This window comes from Homo sapiens, chromosome 10 (genome assembly GCF_000001405.40).
Source record: "Homo sapiens chromosome 10, GRCh38.p14 Primary Assembly".
NCBI classification, from domain to species: domain Eukaryota; kingdom Metazoa; phylum Chordata; class Mammalia; order Primates; family Hominidae; genus Homo; species Homo sapiens.
Window position 1 is genome coordinate 50,813,252 of NC_000010.11, and position 23,718 is coordinate 50,836,969.

At 37.7% G+C, this 23,718-nt stretch overlaps 1 protein-coding gene across 14 annotated transcripts in view; it reads right to left on the bottom strand.

Annotated features, from left to right (window-relative positions):
* A1CF (APOBEC1 complementation factor) overlaps nt 1–23,718 on the bottom strand; it is an 86,219-nt gene that overhangs the window by 13,843 nt on the left and 48,658 nt on the right. For 7 of the 14 annotated variants that reach the window (XM_011539729.4, NM_001370131.1, XM_047425130.1 and 4 more), the window contains 5 exons: nt 22,823–23,061; nt 14,880–15,044; nt 7,301–7,398; nt 2,755–3,028; nt 606–811 (listed from right to left, as the gene is read on the bottom strand). In XM_011539729.4, coding sequence (XP_011538031.1) covers nt 606–811; nt 2,755–3,028; nt 7,301–7,398; nt 14,880–15,044; nt 22,823–23,061 — 982 coding nt within the window. The remainder of the gene's footprint in view (nt 1–605; nt 812–2,754; nt 3,029–7,300; nt 7,399–14,879; nt 15,045–22,822; nt 23,062–23,718) is intronic. The other 7 variants (NM_001370130.1, NM_138933.3, XM_047425129.1 and 4 more) reach the window with 2 other exon arrangements.

The following is a 23,718-nucleotide window of genomic DNA, read 5'->3' on the forward strand; positions in this document are numbered from 1 at the left end:
CAATAATAAAAACCACAGGTTAATGTTGAAGTGTGGAAACTTAGAACTGTTAAATGAACACAGTAAAAACTCTCTGTAATGCCACTGCCAAAATATAACTATGGAGGAAGAGTTAATTTGGTATGACTGATGACATCTCATAGTTAATAATTCACCCAGATATCATGGTGGAGTTTTCTCTTAGATACAGTATTTCCAAGAAAAGATGTCCTAAATGGTCTATTCAGGGCACTGCCATAATACTCTTCATTTGCCAGCCAACCTGGCTCACATACAATAGGCATTTATTCTGAGATGGGGTCTTTGCCTCATTTCGGGTATGGGTTGATAATTCTTAATAGCTCTCAGATTCTTTGCATTTCAGTGGAATATTGTTCAAGGTGTTAGACTTTATGATTTTTTAAAAAAGAGAAAGGACCTATAATAGAATAATGGCACCAGATGCCCAGCATTCCTTCAAAGACTGTGACATTCATTGGATGCTTTATATATTAAAAGAAAAAAACCCATAGCTTGAGTAGGGATCAAGTCAAATCATTTGATAAAAGTGAATGATGCTCATTGGCACAACTTAAAGAAACTATTTCTGGAATAACATTACCTACCTGGGGAGCGAGTTTAATTCCTTGGGGTTTTAATGTGACAGGATTCATTGGGGTGAGCTCCATCCCAGGTAAAATGTCATAGAGTTTGTCTTCTCTTTTGTCTCCTTTGACCTGGTATCCTCGACCCAGGCCTGTGTATGCCAAATAGCCACGGCCGCCCAGTCCTCTCACTCCCGCAGCCCCTACAGGTACATTCATGTAAATTTCTAGGAACGTAAGAAGGCATTAAACTGAATCAAACCACCAGAAAATCACCCTGAATCTTACTGTAATGGAAAAGTTAGCCCAATTCACGTTGATTATTGCCCTGAAGATGGGTGGGAGACTCTAGGATTCTAATGTAATGAAACTCAACATAAGGTAAGGTTTAACATAGGTGTCTCTCTTTTTTGAAAAACTACCTTCAGAAGAAAACAATGCCATTGATAAATACAATACTATTGATAAGTACACAAACAACTTAAAAATTTTGGGATAGAAAATTTGCAATTTTTGTCTTTAGGTAACCTTGATATTTTATACAGACTAATAAAGACTGGGAATGTATTTATTAGAACATTCCAACATAATGCGACCACTTATTTTGAAATCAGTCTTGCATAGAGACTGTCACTGATCAGTATATCAGAAATAAATTCTGGCTTCCCTAATTATCCCACTTCCAATGACTTATTGTAAAACAAACATTTAGAAAGCATGCTTTTAGGTTCACCATGCTCTCTGATGTTCGGTCAATGTGAGGCTTAAATTTCCATTGAGTTTCATGCATAGATTCCTTTTGATTTTTGTTTTGCCATGTTACTACTTTGATTTTATATTGGTGGCATAGAGATAAAAAATTAAATTGATTACCCTTCATCCATGAATATCATTCATTGATTCCTTTCTTGTTATAAGATAGGCATTTTTTCCCTTATAGTGGAGTTTGTTTTTTTTCGACATCATAACTGGTTGACAATTTGTATTTAATGTATGGATTGGTTAATGAGGTGATTTTATATTCTAAATGCATAATGTTGCAATGATATAATTTATTATCACATAGACAAGTTACCTTAAAGGAAATCTTGATTATTTCATTTGCATTACAATTTTGGGGCAAGTAATTATGAGTATGAAACTTTTAAGGCTGTTGAAGACTAGAGCTCCTAATATGATCAATTTAGTTATACTGAAAAGTAGTAAAACATAGTAAGATAATTGTTTCCACAGTAATCTAGATGTGCCTTTTTGCTTCTAAGTCAAACCCAAGAATAGACTTAAATGCACAGTTTATCGAATTGCCCAGATTCATGTCGTATTTGGAGGATAGAACTGGGATTCAGTTGGCATTAGCCACATCCTAGAAAAACTCATCTGAAGGAGCCAAAAAGACAGGGACAAGCTAGTTTCTTGGAAATAGAATAAAGGCTTTCTTTATCTTCTAGCTTTCTTGAAGAAATGGAGCTTGGAAAACTGCTCAAACATTTAGAATTCTTACAGGATTCAAATGTGAAATATTTATTGTTTTATTAGCAGTCTGATTGAGGGTTTTTTTTCTATTTGTTGTTCAGTTCTCCATGTATTAAAGAAATATAGTAATGTCCTTAATTATTTGGCTTCTAAGAAAGTATAACATATTTCCTGGAGGAGGTCAGATGAGAACATCTCATATGTCTGTTAGATTATATTTATAATAATTTGTGATTTACATATTAAGACAATGCCACTGAGTCACCATCAAATACACACATGCCTTGAAAGGGTTTTGCTATTTGAGGTAATTGGTTTCCACTGGACTATACTAGTCTATTCCAGAAGTGTTGTAATGAGCCACAGATGACTACACAGTGGTGGACAAGTGATATAGAAGAAGCTAACAATTATAGAACTAGGTTTTAGTTTGTGCAAATTTTATGGGCCCATGCAAAGTTTGAATCTGTGCACTAGGCTCATTTGCACAATGTTCTGATGACGTTTTTTCAATAACCAGTTGTAATGTGAAAAAGATTCCTATTAAAGGAAAACTATTGATATAATAGTTGATTTTTAATAAACAATTTTTCAGTGCTTTTCTCCAAGTGGACCCATCCAATGTATCTAAGGCTACTGCAATTTGAGTCATTTGAAATCTTGGGATTACTCTAAAGCAAGATCTGACTGGTGTTACCTCTAACAGAAGGGGCTCGGATAATGGCTCTGTTGCTGAGATGTCCTTTGGTGGCTGGGAAATGAAGACTGGGAATTGCTGCATAGGTCTGGGGGGCATAGAAGACAGGAGCTCCAAGGTAGGTTGTGGTGGGATCATAAACTTGGCCCAAAGAGTAGGTATACTCTCCTTGCAGCATGGTGCCCCTTCCACCTGTGCCTCGGGTATACCTAACATAACTGTCCTTGTCCACTGGTTTTGCTAGGGTGACTTCAATGGGGGAACCATCCAGCACCTGTTGTAGAGAGCAAAGAAATATCAACGCGAGATGATATGAAGATAACCAAGTGTGGCTGAGCCCTAATAACATGACTCCTTCTAAGTGTTAGACTATTTGCTGTAGGTTTATTGATTGTATCTTGTCATTTTATAGGTTTGTTTTGTATGCCAGTTGAACTTTTTCTGAGCCATTTTGTTGGTAAGTTGCATAAGATGCCAACAGGTTTGACAGTGACATATTGGCCAGTGTCCATTGACATATTCATTATAAATTTACAATCTGGTTACAGTCACTGAGACAGAAAGTTATGTAATATTTTTATTAGGTCATATATGTGTTTTAAATTACATATTTATATAATTATATAACTACAAGACAATTTAGGTTTGTTATGGATGGTATAAAATCTCCATTACCTTGCACAATAAGATGAAGGTGAAAGGAAACCAATAAAGAAATCTTATCAATTATTAGCATTTAGCATGGGCAGCCAAATCAGGCCCTTCCAGCTGATAGCCCGCTAACTGTCTTGCTCCTTAGAGCAGCCACACAAGTAAGTTTTCACTGGAGAAGAGAGACATACTGTGGCTCTACCAAAGGAAGAGGAATCTGGGAGGCTGTTGCATTGCCTGCCACAGGTTCTTCCTTGTGAAGCCACCTTTTGATCTGCTGAACAGTTGGGAGCTAATAAACAGGGATGACAGGGGTCAGGAGTAGTTGGGAGTGAGAGTAGTATTGAGGTTCTCAGATCATGCACTGCTTAAAACCTGTCCTTAAGAATTCTGACACAAATTCTGAGACTGCAAACAGCTCCAGATGTCAAAGATAATGGATGTATGTAGATCTACGTGTGCTACTAACTTCTATGTATTGCTTGCCTACACAATAAACAATGATGGCTCTCAAGAAATTCTTGATAGATTGATGTATTTATTATCAAAGGAACAAAGTATTGTCTGAAAGCATTTGTGGCTTTGTTTTTGAATAAGAATGTGAAGATCCTCTGTTTTATATAAAGAACACTTTTATGTAAAGTGTTTCTACAGAAATTCCCATTCACAGCAGCTGAGTGTGCACCCTTACCCTCTGATTTCAACAGTGACTCAGTGGTTCCTGGATTATTGAAGTCTGCTGGACAAAGCTTGTGCTTCATGGTCATCCTGACCATTTTGTTCAGCCTCTTGGTCAATTTGTCCCCAGTATTATGTATTTACCTTACTTTTTAGTAGCAGGAGCCAGTGTCAAATAAGTTAGATGGAATACTCTGAGAGACAGACAGAATCCAGCTGATATTCAACAATCTTATATTGATGTTGATGTAATTAGAAAAAGTAGACCTGGCATACTGAAAATAGGGGAGGAACTTGGGTATAAGATTCTTTATATCTTCAGTCCAGTCTTGAGGAAGATGAGAGACCCAAATAGGTCTCTGCTTATAGGCACTTCCATATCAAGAGATGTTTTGCATGGAATGATTCTTTGCGGCAAATTCAGATATCTTGTAACAAATTTTGTTCTGCCTTCCTTTGTCCCATCCAAAAGCATTTTAAATTCAATATTGTATTTTAGTTATTTGGTTTAGATATTTCCAGAGCTAGGACAATATCTTATTAATCTGTATAGCCCAAGCTTAGTAAAATTTCTTTCACTTCATAGACTTACAAAAAGAATAAATGAATAATCATTCTGAAGCTCAATTCATCATTTTTCTCTCTGAATAGGCTTCCCTTCCTGACTTTCATAACAACCTACCATATTGGAAGCTTATAATGACTTGTCCTTCTTTTTCACCCCATCTCCAATCAGTTCCTGCGTCCTTTGAATTTATCCCTTACTGTTCTGCATATGGCTGTCTCCTACATTCCATTCCTACCTAAGTTCAAGACTTTATTTTGTCCCATTTGGTTGACTATAATAGCTTTATAACTAGTTTCTATGACATGTTTCTCTCACCTGTATTAAAAAGTCAGTTCTTACTAGGCTAATTTTCCTAAATTGTAAATGTGATAATTATCGTAGAAAAAATTTCAAGATCTCACTTCATCTAACAAATTAAATATAAATATCTCTATATATGCTCAAAAACCTTCATAGTTCCTAGGAAAACTTACTTTTGATTTTTCCATACCACATTATAGTCAAATATAATATTAAATATATATTTAACTAAATAATATGTGTAAATAATTACTCTAAAAATATCTAGCTGCAAAAATTGGGAATTTGAATATGTTTCAATTGTAATTATTCCAACGTAATTTTTGGCATTTAATTTGTGATGGCTGTTCCTTCCCAGCAATCATCATGTATACTCAGGAATGTTTCCATATAGAGAAAATCTAACTTACAAATTGTTTTCCAAGTAATAACACTTTTATGATACTAAATGTGATCATCAATGAAGATGAAATAATGCTTTTCTTTATAGACATGTATTTATGCATTAGTTTTTCTTTGCAGTTTTCTTTTTTGTATTTCAGAGTGAATACTTTCTCCACCCCACCCTCCAGTATTCAAACTTTTTGAGTTTGAGTGGGCCCCTGAGGAGCTAATATGCAAGAGGCTCCACAGTGTCTGAAGGGCCTAGGCTAAGAGATCCTCCCTTTGCCATCTGGATCCACTGCCTATGGAATTCACCACCTACCAGCTCCAGCCTGCTCTCTGCTCTGGGAAGCTGTTCTACATGGGGTCCTCTTTAGCCTTCTAGATTGTGATTGCATTTAGCCAATGGGGAACACTGGTAGGAGGTTGGAGAAGAGACAACAGTGAATTCGGGGCATTTATTCTGCTGGACCCGTCTTTGAGAGGTCACCTTGGGCTGACTGTGTCCTTTGACCAAAATCACTGCTTCTTTCTTTTCTCTTTTCTTTCTTTCCTTAATGGTGGGGTCTCACTCTGTTGCCCAGGCTGGAGTGCAAAGGCACAATCATAGATCACTGCAGCCTCAGCCTCCTGGGATCAAGAGATCCTCCCACCTCAGCCCCCGGAGTAGCTGGGACTACTGTAGTAGTCCATGCTACCATGCTCGGCTAATTTTTTGTAGAGATGAGGTCTTGCCATCTTGTCCAGGCTGGTCTTGCACTCCTGGGCTCAAGCAATCCTTCTACCTCAGCCTCCCAAAGTGCTGAGATTACAGGTGCGAGCCACTGCACCCAGCAACTTCTTGCAAAGAGATCTGCTCTACACAATTCTCTCCCCTTTCAGGATTTCTATTAATTCTCCAGCCCCTTGTACCTTTGACTCCAGAATGCTGTGAGCCCCAAATTCTGACACTCTTTTTTGATTTCCCTAGTCCCCACTCGCACTTTTGTAATTAATTCCTTTGCTATTTGTTTTCTTTTGGGACCCTGACCGATGCCAGATCCGATAGGTAACACAGTCCCACGTGCATTATGTTCCAGCCAAGTTACTCCACATTTTCCTGTTCTCCAATCTTGTCTTGCTCTTCTCAAATTCTGTGCCTCTAAGACTTCCTGTCTTTCCATATTTTGATTTTTGAAATTATACCCAATTTTCGTGGCTTCTCTTAAATATTATCTTCTCATATCCATGAAGATGTTTTATTCTTTATAGCCCACTTCTTCCTTTGAACTTGCTCACCACGTTTATCTCTCTTTATGATATTTACTTGCCTATACTTTGCACGAGTTTGTGTAGTTGTCTTATTCCTCCAACCAACTTTTAACTCTTTGTCAAACATCTTTGATTCTCTTTGTATCCTAGCATGATAAGTGGTCTACAGAAGGTTTTAAATGTTTATTGGCTTGATATATAAATATTATATTGCTTTCTGTAGACAACTCAGTAGTGAGGATATAGAAGCTTCCCCAGCCCCTACTCTTGGCAAGGTGAGAGACTCTAAGCTTTCCAAGTGGAAGATCAAACTATGAAGGCAGAATAACAGCTATCTTGACATGTTTTTAATTCATCAGCTTCTAAAATACTGCACTAAAATGATGATAATCTCTTTGAAGTAATGAGAGAAAACTGGAATTGTGAAAAACATCTTGAAATAATCTACTTAAATCTCCTCTTTCCATGGAAATTGAGGGCCAGTGACTTGTCCAAATTATAAAAAACAAATAGAGGTAAAGTTGGATATATTAGGTACATCTCCAACTTCCATTGTATTTTCCATCATTTCTCTTTAGTACATCTTAAATGGACTGAGGCAGCCATGTCAGAGAAGGCTGGAGTGAGACAGGCTTGCAGGACTGTGCTTTTGGATGTAATATCCACACCAAACTTGGATGTAATCTGCATATTTTTTTCTTTCTTCTACCTTACCTTGCCATTTAAAGCTTTCATAGCCTCAACTGCATCTTCTCGGTTACTGAAGTGCACAAAAGCATAGTCTCGAATTTTCTTCACCCTCTCCACAGCACCTGTAAAATAGAGTGAAGGTTGCCCCATTAACAAAATTAAGAGAGCCTTGAAAGTGATATATTTTAGCATCTAGCTGCAAAGAGTATTTGATTTTTTTTATGGATACCTCATATTTAAGTAAGGATCTCATCAAGAACATTCAACAGAAGATTTTTTTTGCAGTTTTTAAAATAAAATTTATATTCTGACTTATTATAATTTGTTATGGATTTGTGTCTTCCACTTCCTAGATTACAAGGTGTCTAAGGGTGGGAATTCCATCTTCTTTTGCATTTTATGTAATGTAAAAGATAGTACATTTTGCATGGTAAAATACTTGTTGAATTGAGTTGAACTCAATTATTGATCATTTTACAAACATATATTTAGGTGATTACTTTTGCTTTTCACCCCAGCAAAATGTCTTTATCTCTTTTGTCTTATGTAATTAACTTTAAATTACTTTTAAAAATTTAAATATTAGGTAACTACAGTTCTGACAAGGGAACTGAGATTTAGAGTGCACACAGAGAGGAACTACAACTGGATTCTCTATATCCTTATCCAATAATCTTTAAATAAAAAACAAAAAGAAGAAAAAGAAAGTTGTTTCCGAAAGAACATCTGGGAACAAAGATAAGTTGCCTGCCTTGCTGTCATGATAGCTAAAGATTGGAAACAATGTAAATATCTACTATTCTACTTTGAGTAATGTCTCTTACAGAAACACTCACACACATGTACAAGGATCATGCATAAGGATATCAATTACACTACTGTTGAAAGAGCAAAAATAAAACAATTTAATGTCTATTTTCATGAGTGATTAAATCCGCTGCATTTATACCAACACGAAGGAGTCTATAAAGAAAATAGACCTGTATGTTGTTACATGGAAAGATTAGAGACCTATTTTTTTTTTTCAGACGGAGTTTTGCTCTTGTTGCCCAGGCTAGAGTGCAATGGCGTGATCTCAGCTCACCGCAACCCACCCCTCCCTGGTTCAAGCGATTCTTCTGCCTCAGCCTCCCGAGTAGCTGGGATTACAGGCATGCATCACCATGTGCCTGGCTAATTTTGTATTTTTAGTAGAGAAGGAGTTTCACCATGTTGGTCAGGCTGGTCTCGAACTCCCGACCTCAGGTGATCTGCCTACCTCGGCCTGCCAAAATGTTGAGATTACAGGCATGAGCCACCGTGCCTGGCCCAAGACCTATTGTTAATTTTTAAAAAGTTATAAAATAGTAAGTACAATATTACAGCATTTGTGTTTTTAATAATCCAAAACCATATATATGTGCACACAAATATAAATACACTCATACAGAAAGTGAACTGAAAAGATAGAGACCAAACTCTTAACAGAGGTTACTTCAGGAATGGGGAGAAAAGTTGGGAAGAATGAAGGAGGTTTTCATATTTTAATTGATATATTTGGTATTTTACAAATATTTGCAAAGTTTATTTATATTATTTGTGTAGAAAACCCAAACAAACCAACTATCTATTTTTATGTAAGGGAACTGCTGAACATGATGGCAACATATAAAAATGAAAAAGATAGTTGTACCGAGATAGTTGGATGTTATATTTTTAAAATGTTTTTCCTTACTCAATTTTAAAAATAGACCTTTTGCTTAGAGTGAAGGTAAGGTGGAAATTTGTTTAACCACTATTAGTTTAGCATGCCAATTATCTTCTTTAATCCCTACACTCACTTGGGTGTACCTTGAGAGTGCCGGGAGACAACATAGGATGAGACATTATGCCAGGGAAAAGAAGAGGGGGAAGTCCTTTCTGTCCTTATCAAAGTTTCATTATCTTCTTAGATTCAAGGTAACAAAGGTAATTAGAGTTTTTACTCTCCCACGTGGTTCAATGACTAAGAATTATCTTCCTTTGGAATGATAGTCGGCCTGTAACATAAGGACAATTTAAAGACATTGTGATACTTCTCTTTTCACTCCCTTCAACAGTCGACCCTTGACTTCTTATGGCAATGGTTATACAGAGCAAAATTATCTGGCCAGGCTAAGGATAAATAAAGCTCTCTGAGACCATGAAGCATGAGACATATAATTAACTGAATATCCAATATAGTCTCTTCATTCCTTTCAGTGTCACATGGGGTGATGATCATGACTTAATCCCATGACTTGTTTTAGTAACTGAGAAGGAAGACGTTGGCCAATGATGACCTTCACCTTTCCAGTCTTTGCTTGGTTCATATTTCAATGTCATTCTCCACCTAGGCTCACTGGTCTGTTATCTCCCTGAGAACAGGACCCTCTTCAGAGACTTCTTGGTATCATCTTCACCTGGTTCCTGCCTACTGCCTTGGACACAGGAGCTACTCTATAAATACACATGGAATAAGGGAATATTATCAGTTAATTCACATCCCAACTTCTGTCATTTACACCAGTTAGTGGCATTTGAGATGATAATGAATTTAGATTTTCTGAAATTCTGTTTGCAGATATCTGAAATTATCTTACACTGTTGGACGATAACTTCCAGATGCATCTGGTTTTGGAAAATTTGATATTTAAAAACTTAGCCTCATAAAACAGACAAGTTAAAAAGTTAGAGTCTGTGTCATAAAAGTTGGTTTTCTCTACAATAGTATTCACCACATGGCTTATTTTATTATGTTTCTTCTTTAGTGCATAGGAGTTTGTTTAATAATTGATCCTCATTTGGCAGAGGGTGAGTCCATAGAATATGAGTGATCATTATTACTCAATCATCCATTAGCAAAGAAGAAAAAGATCCTCTGAAATCATGATGCAAGGAATTGGAAAATTATTGCTGTGTTTCTTATCAACTTGTCAGCAACACATAAACCTGAGGAGAAACACACCTGCATGCCAAAGGGAAGGTTATCAGAGGGTCATGGTTCCCGAAGTGTGGTGCCCTGACCAGCAGAATCCACTTTGCCTGGAAACTTAATAGAAATGGAAATGCTTGAACCCACCCATGATGGGCCAAGCAATCAGTGATTTAACATGCCCTTCAGGTGATTCTAATACTGCTAAACTCTTGTAGGAAGATCAGATTTTGTAGAATGACTATAATTGGAAATTCAGCAGATACCCTTAGGCTACAGTGGGGAAGAACAAACCATCTTCAGGTCTCAATTTTTGTTCTAATTATCTTTTGTGTCTCTCAGTGGCAATATAATATTATTCAAGTTCATCATGGTTAAACTGATACGTGGTCAAATATTTTGAGGTAATATGTAGGTTCCTCTGAGGGACCTAAACTTTAAATGGAATTTTTAGAGTCATTTTTCTGTTTGTTTCCAGAAATTTTTCTAGATAAGTATAGCCTTGGCACAGTACATACTTTCCAAGATAAACTAGTTAGCTCTGACTTTTCCCTCTTAATGCAGCAGATGTCTGCTAGTTGTTCACGTTCTGAAATTCATATTTTTTTTTGCAGAGGGCCACGAAGAACAAGCCATACATCATTATATAGCCCTGAGAGTTGTGCCACCAGCTGCAGACTGTGCCCTGAAATCGCTGGACACACTTTAGTCCCAAGAAGAAAGAGAAAGTGAGAGAGTGAGCAAGAGAGAGATATGTGATGTTCATTATTTTCATGATAATTAGTAGGATCCGGGCACACATGTCTCTTTAATATATGCCAATACGCAGACTGGGAAAGCTGATAATCAGGGACTAGGAAAGGAAGCAGCCTTTTAGTAGTTTCTCATTCTAGCCCTTGGCAAAAAAAGGTGCTGTTTTAATTAGATAAAAATAAGAAGTATTATTCACTCTGGGAAGGTAGAAAGTCAACATGGAATGAGGGGAGAATAGTGGGCAATATTTATACACACATAATGTTCCTATGCCTACAACTGCATCAACATTCAGATCTCAGCTTAGATGTCGCTTCAAAACACAAGTCTTCTCTGCACTCCAAGAGTAGTCTGTCAAAGCTGTATTTTTCTGGAATTTCTTAAACTTTTTCCATGCACACATCATACTTGTTTGTTCCTTCCACAGTGCCTGGCATGTAGGAGCTACTGAAGGAAAGACAGTTGAATGAATGAGTGAGTGAATGGAATAAGGAGGCGGCATGAGAGTATTAAAGTTTTTAAGAACATGCCCTTTACCAGACCTGAGTTCAAATCCAGGATCTGCGACCTGCTAGCTGTGTGAACCTGGGCAAACTACTTAACTACTCTGGGTCCTGTTTTTCTTATCTAGAAAGTAATGGAATGAATAAAGCAACCTGTATTATAGGGTTGTGATGAATAAATGACACATGCTGTGAAAGTGCCCACTGCAATGCTTGGCACACAGTAAGGTGGTCCATCATTTGCAGATTCTAGCTTAGTCATGGATTCACAGCTGTTGGTGTGGAGCCACACCCTCACACTAATATTTCAGGGAAGGCAGAGTCCCTGAGGCTGGAGAAAGATCTTTGGTGAATCTTTCAAAATGGAGCAGTGACATCCTTCCTGAATGTCCTTCAGAGCAAATCATCAGCTTATCATTCTGTTCTATCTGAAGTAGCACCCAGAGTTGGAAACAGACGATGTGAGTATGTGCAAGTGAATATTCTTAGGCAGCTTTAACATGACAGCACCATGGCCCACCCTTATTAACAACCTAGATAATTTGCCAGGAGACTGGGAAATTCTCAGTTATGAAAGGATATTACTACTATGATAACCCTAAGCCACTACTGCCCAGAGTGTGTTTAAAGACACAGTAATCCCACAAAATGATATGGCAAAAAAGAGCAGTCATGTTTCAGAAACTTGAAAAATGAAGATTTCTGCATCGCTTCTTGGAGAATTTCAAAGCATGTTAGAAGGCAAAAGACTTTGATAAGTTCCATAATGAAGAAATTCATTTAATTTTGCAGAATCTGGTGTTTACAAGCTTATTTGACCATGGAGCCCTTTTATCAGCAACATCCACCAAAAGATTGTAGAATTAATGTTCTGAACTGTTTTTGGGAAATGGTAATTTGGATATTGTTTCCTGAAATGCTCTACCTCTCTCAGTGTTGTAGCTCCTATATGGAGAAGAAAGAGATGGGGAGTCAATCTGATGGCTTAGAATTGATACTGAAAAGTATTGACAAGATGAGTAGCAACTAACTATCCCCTTCCACCTTCCCTCTATTCCTTTCCCTTCCTCTTCACTCAAATCAGTTTCCTAGGATTGTCACCTTTTTACTTATGTCACAAGTGTATTCCATTAGGCCAGTGGTTCTCAACTGGGGGCAATTTTGCCCACCCGTAGAGTATATTTTGCAATGTCTGAAGGCATTTTTCGTTGTCACATCTTGGAGGTTGCTACTGGTATCTAACAGAGACAGGCCTGGGATGCTGCTAAACATCCTACAATCCACTGGACAGACCCCCACAGCCAAGAATGATCTGTTCCAAAATATCAATAGTGGTGAGGCTGAGAAACCCTGCATCAGACCTATGGTTATGGCATGCATTCTTCATTACAGTAAATATTTATTGAGCAATCATTGTACCCCAGGCCCAGAGATTAAATGTCTGAAGATGGAGGAAACAATAAGAGGGGAAAAACTCATGAAATTTATAGTTTAGTGAAGAAAATAGATATTCATTAAATAATCACATAGATAAGTATGCAATTATAATATTGATAAATGTTGTAGGACCACATGGCTTGATTTTCTAATCCAAAGTTAGGAACATAGTTTGAGAGGTCTGCATGGAATTATGAGATGAACTAAATAAAAGCATTTCTATTTAAAGTTATGGGAAGTCATCTCAAGCATAGGTGCTTTTAAAGAATGTTTTGATCTCTCGGCAGAAACTCGACAAGCCAGGAGAGAGTGGGGGCCAATATTCAACATTCTTAAAGAAAATAATTTTCAACCCAGAATTTCATATCCAGCCAAACTAAGCTTCATAAGCAAAGGAGAAATAAAATACTTTACAGACAAGCAAATTCTGAGAGATTTTGTCACTACCAGGCCTGCCCTACAAGAACTCCTGAAGGAAGCGCTAAACATGGAAAGGAATAACCAGTACCAGCGACTGCAAAAACATGCCAAATTGTAAAGACCATCCAGGCTAGGAAGAAACTGCATCAACTAATGAGCAAAATAACCAGCTAACATCATAATGACAGGATCAAATTTACACATAACAATATTAACCTTAAAAGGTAAGTGGGCTAAATGCTCCAATTAAAAGACACAGACTGGCAAATTGGATAAAGAGTCAAGACTCATCAGTGCGCTGTATTCAGGAAACCCATCTCACATGCAGAGACACACATAGGCTCAAAGTAAATGGATGGAGGAAGATCTACCAAGCAAATGGAAAACAAAAAAAGGCAGGGGTTGCAATCCTAGTCTCTGATAAAAGAGACTTTAAACCAACAAAGATCAAAAGAGACAAAGAAGGCCATTACATAATGGTAAAGGAATCAATTCAACAAGACGAGCTAACTATCCTAAATATATATGCACCCAATACAGGAGTACCCAGAGTCATAAAGCAAGTCCTTAGAGACCTACAAAGAGACTTAGACTCCCACACAATAATAATGGGAGACTTTAACACCCCACTGTCAACATTAGACAGATCAACGAGACAGAAAGTTAACAAGGATATTCAGGAATTGAACTCAGCTCTGCACCAAGCGGACCTAATAGACATCTACAGAATTCTCCACCCCAAATCAACAGAATATACATTCTTCTCAGCTCCACATCACACTTATTCCAAAATTGACCACATAGTTGGAAGTAAAGCACTCCTCAGCAAATGTAAAAGAACAGAAATTATAACAAACTGTCTCTCAGACCACAGTGCAATCAAACTAGAACTCAGGATTAAGAAACTCACCCCAAACCACTCAACTACAAGGAAACTGAACAGCCTGCTCCTGAATGACTACTGAGTACACAACGAAATGAAGGTGGAAATAAAGATGTTCTTTGAAACCGATGAGAACAAAGACATACATAACATACCAGAATCTCTGGAACACATTTAAAGCAATGTGTAGAGGGAAATTTATAGCACTAAATGCCCACAAGAGAAAGCAGGAAAGATCTAAAATTGACACCCTAACATCACAATTAAAAGAACTAGAGAAGCAAGAGCAAACACATTCAAAAGCTAGCAGAAGGCAAGAAATAACTAAGATCAGAGCAGAACTGAATGAGATAGAGGCACAAAAATCCTTCAAAAAAATCAGTGAATCCAGGAGCTGTTTTTTTTAAAAGATCAACAAAATTGATAGACCACTAGCAAGACTAATAAAGAAGAAAAGAGAGAAGAATCAAATAAGCACAATAAAAAATGATAAAGGGGATATCGCCACCGATCCCACAGAAATACAAACTACCGTCAGAGAATACTATAAACACCTCTATGCAAATAAACTAGAAATCTAGAAGAAATGGACAAATTCCTCGACACATACACCCTCCCAAGACTAAACCAGGACAAAGAATGTTTTGAAAAACTAATCTTGTATATATGTCCTACCTGGTTTGATATTGTTGAATTCCTTTTCAATCATCTCTTCAGAGGTAGACAGCATAAGATTTCTTACATATAGGATTTTCACTGAAGACATTGTATCTTCATCAACTTCTACTTCTGGCTCTGCCCAGTCTACTGCAATACCATGTCCCCATAACTGAATTCTTCCTGTTGAAAATGATCACCATTATGATTAATTATGTAGGAATCAGGACAACATCATCTCAATTTATACCAATGGTCTTTTAAATTGACCTGACCCTTGAGGTCTTGAATGAGCAAGAAGACCATTAAAACTGGTGAGTGTTGATCTTAAGAGACATTCCAAGTGGAGTAGCTGATTAGAAGGGAGTTCTGTGTGACCGGTGGCTTGTTATAACTATCGATTATAAAGGGAACCAGGACGTGGTTTGAGGTTGAACAGAAATGAGGCAGCAGAGGCCACATTTGGCTCTTAGAACAACACTCATTGGGTGAAGGTAGTCACTTAAGGTAAGATAGCACAAGGGAGATAGGAAAATTATGGATTTAGGGCCCAGATATAGAATCTGACTCCACAGAACATTAAGAAGGTTACTAGGAAGAGCATTTACTGCTGCTGGAATCTGTGTTGTTAATTAGGCTAGGTACCACAATTGAGATGTTCAAAAAATGGTGTTTGGGCAAAGGTGGGTGGGACTCAGGCATCCTTAATTTGTTCTCTGTCCCTCACACTTGGTCAAGGCTTAGATCAGCTGTGTTCCCTCTTAATCCTCTTTCACAACATGAATAAATTGGGAATCTGGAGACATTTTCAAAAAGTCCTAATTAAGAAGACAGATGACAAGCAATGGAAGAGTCTATAATGAGAATTTTAATTCTTCTGTAAAGGGTAGTTGTTCTCCATGGCTACATATATTTTTGTATTACTATGAACACATTTTATTGAGTGTCTTGTACTGTACCATCTGTTTCCCATGTGCCATCTCAGTTACTTCTCACAGTAACCCTGTGGGGAGGTGAATTACTCCCAATTTTACAGAATGGGAAATGAGCTTTAGAGAGGATAACTTTCCCAGGCCTGTTCTACTTAACCACCTCCCCCTTTTTTGTTGTTGTTTTGTTTTGTTTTGTTTTTTGGTGACTCTGCTCCTATACCCCTACGCAGTGCAGATCTTGTTGAAGTGATGAGAGGAGAGTGAGAGTCAACCCAAGTTCTAAATTTGATTGGAAATCTAGTTTGTTTTTTATTCGTTATTTGGGAATAAACTTTATCCCGTAAGCAATACAAAGCTTGAGAGAACAAAATCAGGAACTCTCAGTATTGGTAAGGGTTTATTTGTTTAATTACTACACATAGGAAGCAATTATTTTCAATAAGAATGCATCTTTATATTCCTTGAAAAGCAGTCAGTAAAAGCATCCGTGGCCCTGGCATTCTAAAACCCAAATGAAGAATAGGCATGTCTTAAGAGATAACTGACCCTGGAGAAGCTGGCTCTTGTTACCCTAGCTGTGACCATCTTGTTCTGTGTTGCATTTCAGGGGATAGTTTTCTTCATTACTCTCTTCCTTTCCCCTTGTATGCTTTACATAGACTTTTTTTGTTTGTATTATTCCAAGATCCCCAAGGCTCCCACATAATTCTGGCTTTGGTAGCTCAGTGGTTCTCAGCCTTGGCTCCATATTGGGTGAGGTTTAAAAAATAATGAAACCTGGGTTCCACCCAGTGATGTACTAGAGCCAGTTCTTATCTACTTGCAAAAATAGATGATTAAATTTTTGCATTTTTCCTTCCCATCTTTTTAAAGGTATAATTGATCAATCAAAATTGCATCTATTTGTGGTATACAACATGATGTTTTGATACATGTATACATGTAAAATGATTAAATGAAGCTAATTAACATATGCATCACCTCAATACTTTTTTTTGGTGGTGATAACATTTAAGATCTACTCTCTTACCAATTTTCAAGTATACAAATACATTAACTATAGTCATATTATACAATAGATTTGCAGAAATTATTCATTTTAATGGAAACTTTGTATCGTTTGACCAATATCTCTCCATACCTCTGCCCCCAGCCCTGGTAACCACCATTCTACACTCTGCTTATATGAATTCAACTTTTTAGATTCCACATATAAGTGAGATTATGCAATATTTGTCTTTCTGTGTCTGGCTTATTTCACTTAATATAATGTCCTCCAGTTTCATCCATGTTGTTGCAAATGACAGAATTTCCTTCTTTGTAAAGATTGACTAATATTCCATTGTAACTAATAAACAAGCTCAGTATAGCTGTAAAATACAAAACTAACATACATAAATAAGTAGCCTTTCTATACACTAACAACAAGAAATCAAGAAAACTGAAACAGAAATCAAGAAAACAATCTCATTTATAGTATCATCCCCCCAAAAATACTTAGAAATAAATTTAACCAACAAAATGAAAGATCTGTATACTTAAAACTGTAAAATATTGATAAAAAATTAAAGAAGAAACAAATAAATGGAAAAATATCCTATGTTCATGGATTGGAGGCATTATTATTGTTATAAAGTCCACGCTACTCAGAGCAATCTACAGATTCAATGCAGTCTCTATCGAAATTCCAGTGATGTTTTTCACAGAAATAGAAAATACAATTCTAAAATTTGTATGGGGCCACAAAAGACCCTAGCCAAAGAAATCTGAACCAAAAGAACAAAGCTGGGGTCATCACACTACTTGATCTCAAAATATACTGCAAAGCTATAGTAATCAAAATAGTATGATACTGGCATAAAAACAGACATTTAGGCCAATGAAACAAAATAGAGTCCAGAAGTAAATCCACACATTTATGGCCAATTGATCTTTGACAAAGGTGCCAAGAACACACAATGGAGAAGGAACAGCCTCTTCAACAAATGGTGTAAGGAAAATTGGATATCCATATGCAAAAGAATGAGATGGGACCCTTATCTTACAATATACACATAAGCCAAGTTAAAATGGAATAAAGACTTAAATGTAAGACTGGAAACAGTAAAACTACTAGAAAGAAACATAAGGGAAAGTTTCTTGACATTGGTCTGGGCAGTTATTTTTTGGCTATAACCCCCAAAGCACAGACAACAAAAGCAAAAATAGATGAATGGGATTGCATCAAACTAAACTTTCCGCACAGCAAAGGAAACAATCAATGGAGTGAAGAGATAACCTAAGGAATGGGAAAAAAATATTTACAAAGCATACATTTGATAAGGAGTTAATATCCCAAATATATAGAGAACTCAAACAATCAATAGTAGGAAAACAGATAACCCAATTAAAAATGGGCAAAAGGCCGGGCGTGGTGGCTCACACCTGTAATCCCAGCACTTTGGGAGGCCAAGGCTGGCAGATCATCTGAGGTCAGTAGTTCGAGACCAGCCTGACCAACATGGAGAAACCCCATCTCTACTAAAAATACAAAGTTAGCCAGGCGTGGTGGCACATGCCTGTAATCCCAGCTACTCAGGAGGCTGAGGCAGGAGAATCACTTGAACCCGGGAGGCAGAGGTTGCAGTGAGCCAAGATCATGCCATTGCACTCTAGCCTGGGCAATAAGAGTGAAACTCCGTCTCAAAAATAAAAAACAAAAACAGGGCAATGGATTTGAATAGACATATCTCAAAAGAAGAAATATAAATCGCCAACAGGTATATGAAAAAATGCTTAACATCTCTAATCATCAGGCAAATATAAATCAAAACTAAAATGAGTTATCACCTCACACCTGGTAGAATGGCCATTATCAAAAAGATCAAAGATGATGTTGGCAAGGATTTGGAGAAATGAGAATACTTGCATACTGTTGATGGGAATGTAAGTTGGTAGAGCCATTATGGAAAACAGTATGCAGGTTCCTCAAAAAAATAAAAATAGAGCTACCATATGATCCCGCAATCACCATACTGGGTATGTATTCACCCCAAATGAAATCATTATGTTAAAGAGATTCCTGCATTCCCATGTTTATTGAAGCATTATTCACAATTACCATGGTATGGAATCAACCTAAATGTTCATTGACAGATAAATAGATAAAGAAAGTATCAGAATTTTGTGAGCCAGTTAAAGTCGCATTGGTAGCCTGAAATCAGCCACAGTGGGAGTGTTAATACCATGGAAACTGGCAAATGCTACAAATCAGGGCTTTTGTTTTTTCCTCTGGGAGCTGGCTGTTAAAGATTTACCAGCTCGTTACTGACCTCTGGACTACCTACCCTTCCCAATTCTGATATAAGTGGGCTGGATCTCAGGAGTTTTAAAAGTAGCTTAGTTAATTCTAAAATGCAGCCACAGTTGAGTACTACTGCTCTAGCTTTAGTCTTCTCAGCCTAGGACCACGAAGAGCTGCATAAGGCTAAGGGAACAGAAATGAGAGTAAATATGGGAAGCAGTGATTTCCACCAACATCCTTGTGAAGGCCTCTGGTGAAAGTGAGTGTTACAGAGTGATTTGAGAGCATGAGCTAGAAGTAAGACAAGTTCAAATGTCAGAACAATCATCCTGGCTAGAAAACATATCCTTTCTAACATCAGTTTCCTTATCTACAACCTACTATTGTTGTGAGGTCAGGAAAAGATGATGCAGAGAAGACTTAATAACTTTTAAATTATGATTTAACAATACACTCTCCTCTTAATAATTTTTCCTGTTTTTGTGTATGTATAGTTTTCTCAGAATATGCACTCTTTGAGTGCAATGGTTAGGTACTATGTTTTTTTTTTTATTTTTAGAATCTCTCATGTCATTCAGAAGGGAGCAATATGTGTTCTAGATGCTTAATAAATATTTACTGACTGAGCAGTTCCCAGGTATTCCTATTTACATGCCATGAAGATGATTACCCAGTATCATTAGCTGATAGATTTAGCTGTGAATCACAAAATTTGACTGAAGAATAGAATCATCTGGAAAACTTAAAACACCAGTTCCCTAACTTTATATTCCAGTGATGCAGATTCAATTGATTAGAGGCTGACATGGGTACTCACATTGTTTGAAAACATCAGGTAATTCCAATGTGCAGCCTAGGATGGAAAATCATTGATTCAAATCATGGGTTTTCAAATGTGCAGTCCTGGGAGTAGTAGCATCCTGGGAGCTTGTTGTAAATGCGAATTACCTGGCCTGACACCAGACCTACTGAATCAAGAACTCTGGCGGTGGGATCTAGCAATCTGTGCTATAACAAGCCCTCCAGGTGATGCTGATGCAGCCTGACATTGAGAATCACTGCCAGGACTTTTCTTCAGAGCATTCTTAGAACACCTTTCTAGTTTCTGAGTGGGATGCAGCAACTTTGTTCTGTAAAGAGCTCAATAAAGGTGAGATTTCTCAAGGGGGAACTGCCACTGTTTAGAGAGGAGGTAAGTGACTGAGGAGCAGTTACATCCCTTTAGACAACTATTGTCTCTCTGTCTCCAAGTCTGGGTCAATTAAGAAAGAAAAGTTTCTTGTTGTCTTCACTTATCATTTTTCTCAACAGTCTCCTTGTTCTTTTAAACTAGGTTCTCAAAGGGTTGGCAATTAAAGAATTCCTTTGTTGTGGGTGAGTCTGCAATGGGGTAACAGGTAGAGTGATCCAAATGGGTGATAGGTTTTGTTCTGAGATCTCATTAGAGGTGAAGAAGTTTGCTCTGGCTGGCTTACTCACCACTGTGCCTCATCTTGTTAGTTTGCTGATGAGTTAGTTGCTGACTAAAATCCAGCTGAGTGAAATCCACCTGAGACTGGCTCAAAGGGCCATAGGTAAGGGGGTTGCATTGGATCATAGTGAATATGAGTTGTGGACGGGGAGGGGAGGCAGCCTCCCTATGGCATATCCTGGACAGAGAATCCACAAGGAAAAGTCAGGACTGTGGGTGGAAGCTTAATGAAGTGCTTGAAAATTTCTGAAGCTTATCTGATAGGACCTGGCTAGCTAGTCTGCTTGACTTAGAAAAAGGAGTTCCTTCGGTGGGCCAATGTGCCATTCTCCCTGAAGAGATAGGGAAGCTTTCAGGAGGTGGAGCTTCTCTGGGATTACTGGATTGTCTTGACCCTGGAAACTGTCTTTCACTTGTTTTGGACCTTCTTTCACTGTCCTACTCCCCCACACCCCAAATTATTTCACATATCTGTTTTTACAGATAATGAATGGCTTCCTGCATTGAGGGAGGAAAGTGACTAATTCGGGCTGGAATACTGGAGGTAGGTTTCTCAAGAAGGTGCTGGCTGGGCTGGGGTGAATGTCACAAGTGACGGAGGGGCAGGTATTCCTAGTAGAGGATATAGCATTAGGAATAAACGAGACAGACATAAGCATGGAAGTGTCTAGGTCATTGAGGTGTCTGTCCTGATAGAAGGAAGAGTTTTTATTGGGAAATAGAAGGTAGCAAATATGGTCATAAAAGACCAGGAAATGAATAAAAGGTATTGAATAATGAAATCACATATTTAGTTCTTACACACAGCAAGGAGTTATGAATATTTTTGAACTGGCCAGTTAGTGACAGACATCATTCAGCCTATAGATAGAGATTGAATTCCTACTATTTGCAAGAAGGTGTTGAAAGGATAATAGGATATTTTGGAAACATTAATCTGGTGGTAATGTTCAGGATGGAGAAGTCGGAGGGTGGGGCACATGGAAGAGAAAGCAGAGCTGGGAGAATAATTAGATCTTGAAAAAAATTACATAAGGTTTAGAATATGTGTGTTTAGACTTCAGTGGTGGCCTAAGAACAGGATGGATACAAAAGACTTTTCAATGGTACAGTTGTCGATGTTGAAGAAGAAAGAAGAATTGAAGCAGATAGCAAAATATTACGTCCAGGTCACCAAAAGGTATGCCCCCATGAGGAGTCTTAGTGAGTCTATCTATGGACCTGTGATTTAGATGACTTGACCAAATGCTGGCCAGTGAAGAGGGAAGAAGTTGTGAATGAAAGATTCAACATTAAAAATATCTACTTCTCTAAAAGATTCAGCAACCTTTGGGACTGTCTCATTTTTTTTCCCTTTAAGTTGCCTTCATGAAGATATTATTGAAAGATCTTCCCCAAGCCAGAAACTGTCTCCTAGTTTTGAAGATATCTAGGGGGCTGATCTAGTATTGGTTTGTTTTGAAGAGTGTTTACAAAGGCAACATAAATGTAGACATCTTTGTTGTGGTTGTTTTGTTTTGAATTCTGGTGGCTCTCCCATAATTTTCATGAGAAAAGTTCATTCCAGTGTGTCCAGTCTGTCATTTTTGAAATCCTCTTATTTTAGTATTCATTTAAAAACCTGTGTAAGTTGTAGAAAATGTTTTAGAATGAGCCAAGAACTGTAAAAAATTTTCCTAAGTTGATCTGACCGAGGCAGTGTTGGGGTGGATAGAGAATTTGATAGTTATTCACCAAATGGGATCTATCCTGTGGTTGTAATAACTAACAAATAAAGGTGGCTTTCTAAGGAGAGCTTTTATCTCTCTTCTCTCAAATTAGACAGAAATTATTAGACAACAGGGAGTCATAATGAAAGTATGTCACCTAGTTGTCATTGGAATAAGGTATCACTTGAGGTTTTTATTTCTACACTGTAATGGAGAATATACCCTAATTCTAATAAGCCTGGTAACAAAATCTATACACAAAAGTAACTGTGATTGATATACTTAATTTTAAGAAGACTCTTTATTCATCAAAGGATTGCTGTACTTAAAGTTCTGGGTTTCTTTAGTGCATGTAAATTAGCCTCAATGCACAGAATGAATATTTTTCAAAACTGAGTCTGAAAACTTCAGGGAATGGAATCAACTGTGAGACAGTGAAGAAGGATAAAAAATTTAAAATACAGCGTAATGAAAGATAGCCAAAAAAAATTAAAAATGCTTATTTTCTTTGCGGAGGCAGGCAGGATAGGCAGAGAAGTCTCATCTTTGAGGAGGGGATTGCTAACCTGGTAGCAGTTTCCTCCTCGCCATGGCAGCTGCTCGATGACTCTCATACTCCACGAAGGCAAAGCCTCGGTTTTTGGTTTTATCTGCAGCGCTTGGGTAGACGATGACATCGACAACACCTTCAGTAACCTTTTTCATCTCCGATAAGATTTCTTCTCTCTTTTTGGTTTTTGGGATGCCCCCAACAAATAATCGGCAGTTGTCCACACTGGCACAAACCCCTAAGAGGCGCCCATTTCTGCAAAAAGAGCAGGGATTTTGATTGATGAGAATCCTTGTAGGATTCAGGTTGAAAATGTATGGCTGTGGGCCAAATGTTGCCTGAAGATGTGGGATGTTTGGGTTCATAGTGTTGAAACCATTTTTGGAGAGTTGTGGCTTCTTTTGCAAGATTATTAGATGTGTCAACATGTGCTCTACATTTTCAAACAAAAAAGTTATCTGAAGCTGAGTAGCATCTGCTTTCTTTTTTTATTTTATTTTACTTTAAGTTCTAGGGTACATGTGCACAACATGCAGGTTTGTTACATATGTATACATGTGCCATGTTGGTGTGCTGCACCCATTAACTCGTCATTTGCATTAGGTATATCTCCTAATGCTATCCCTCCCCCCTCCCCCCACCCCACAACAGGCCCTGGTGTGTAATGTTCCCCTTCCTGTGTCCAAGTGTTCTCATTGTTCAATTCCCACCTATGAGTGAGAACATGCAGTGTTTGGTTTTTTGTCCTTGCGATAGTTTGCTGAGAATGATGGTTTCCAGTTTCATCCATGTCCCTACAAAGGACATGAACTCATCCTTTTTCATGGCTGCATAGCATCTGCTTTCTTTAGGCTAGATGTGGATTCAAGAGTTGTCAATCCTCACCGCTCCCTGAAGCATCCCCAACACTGA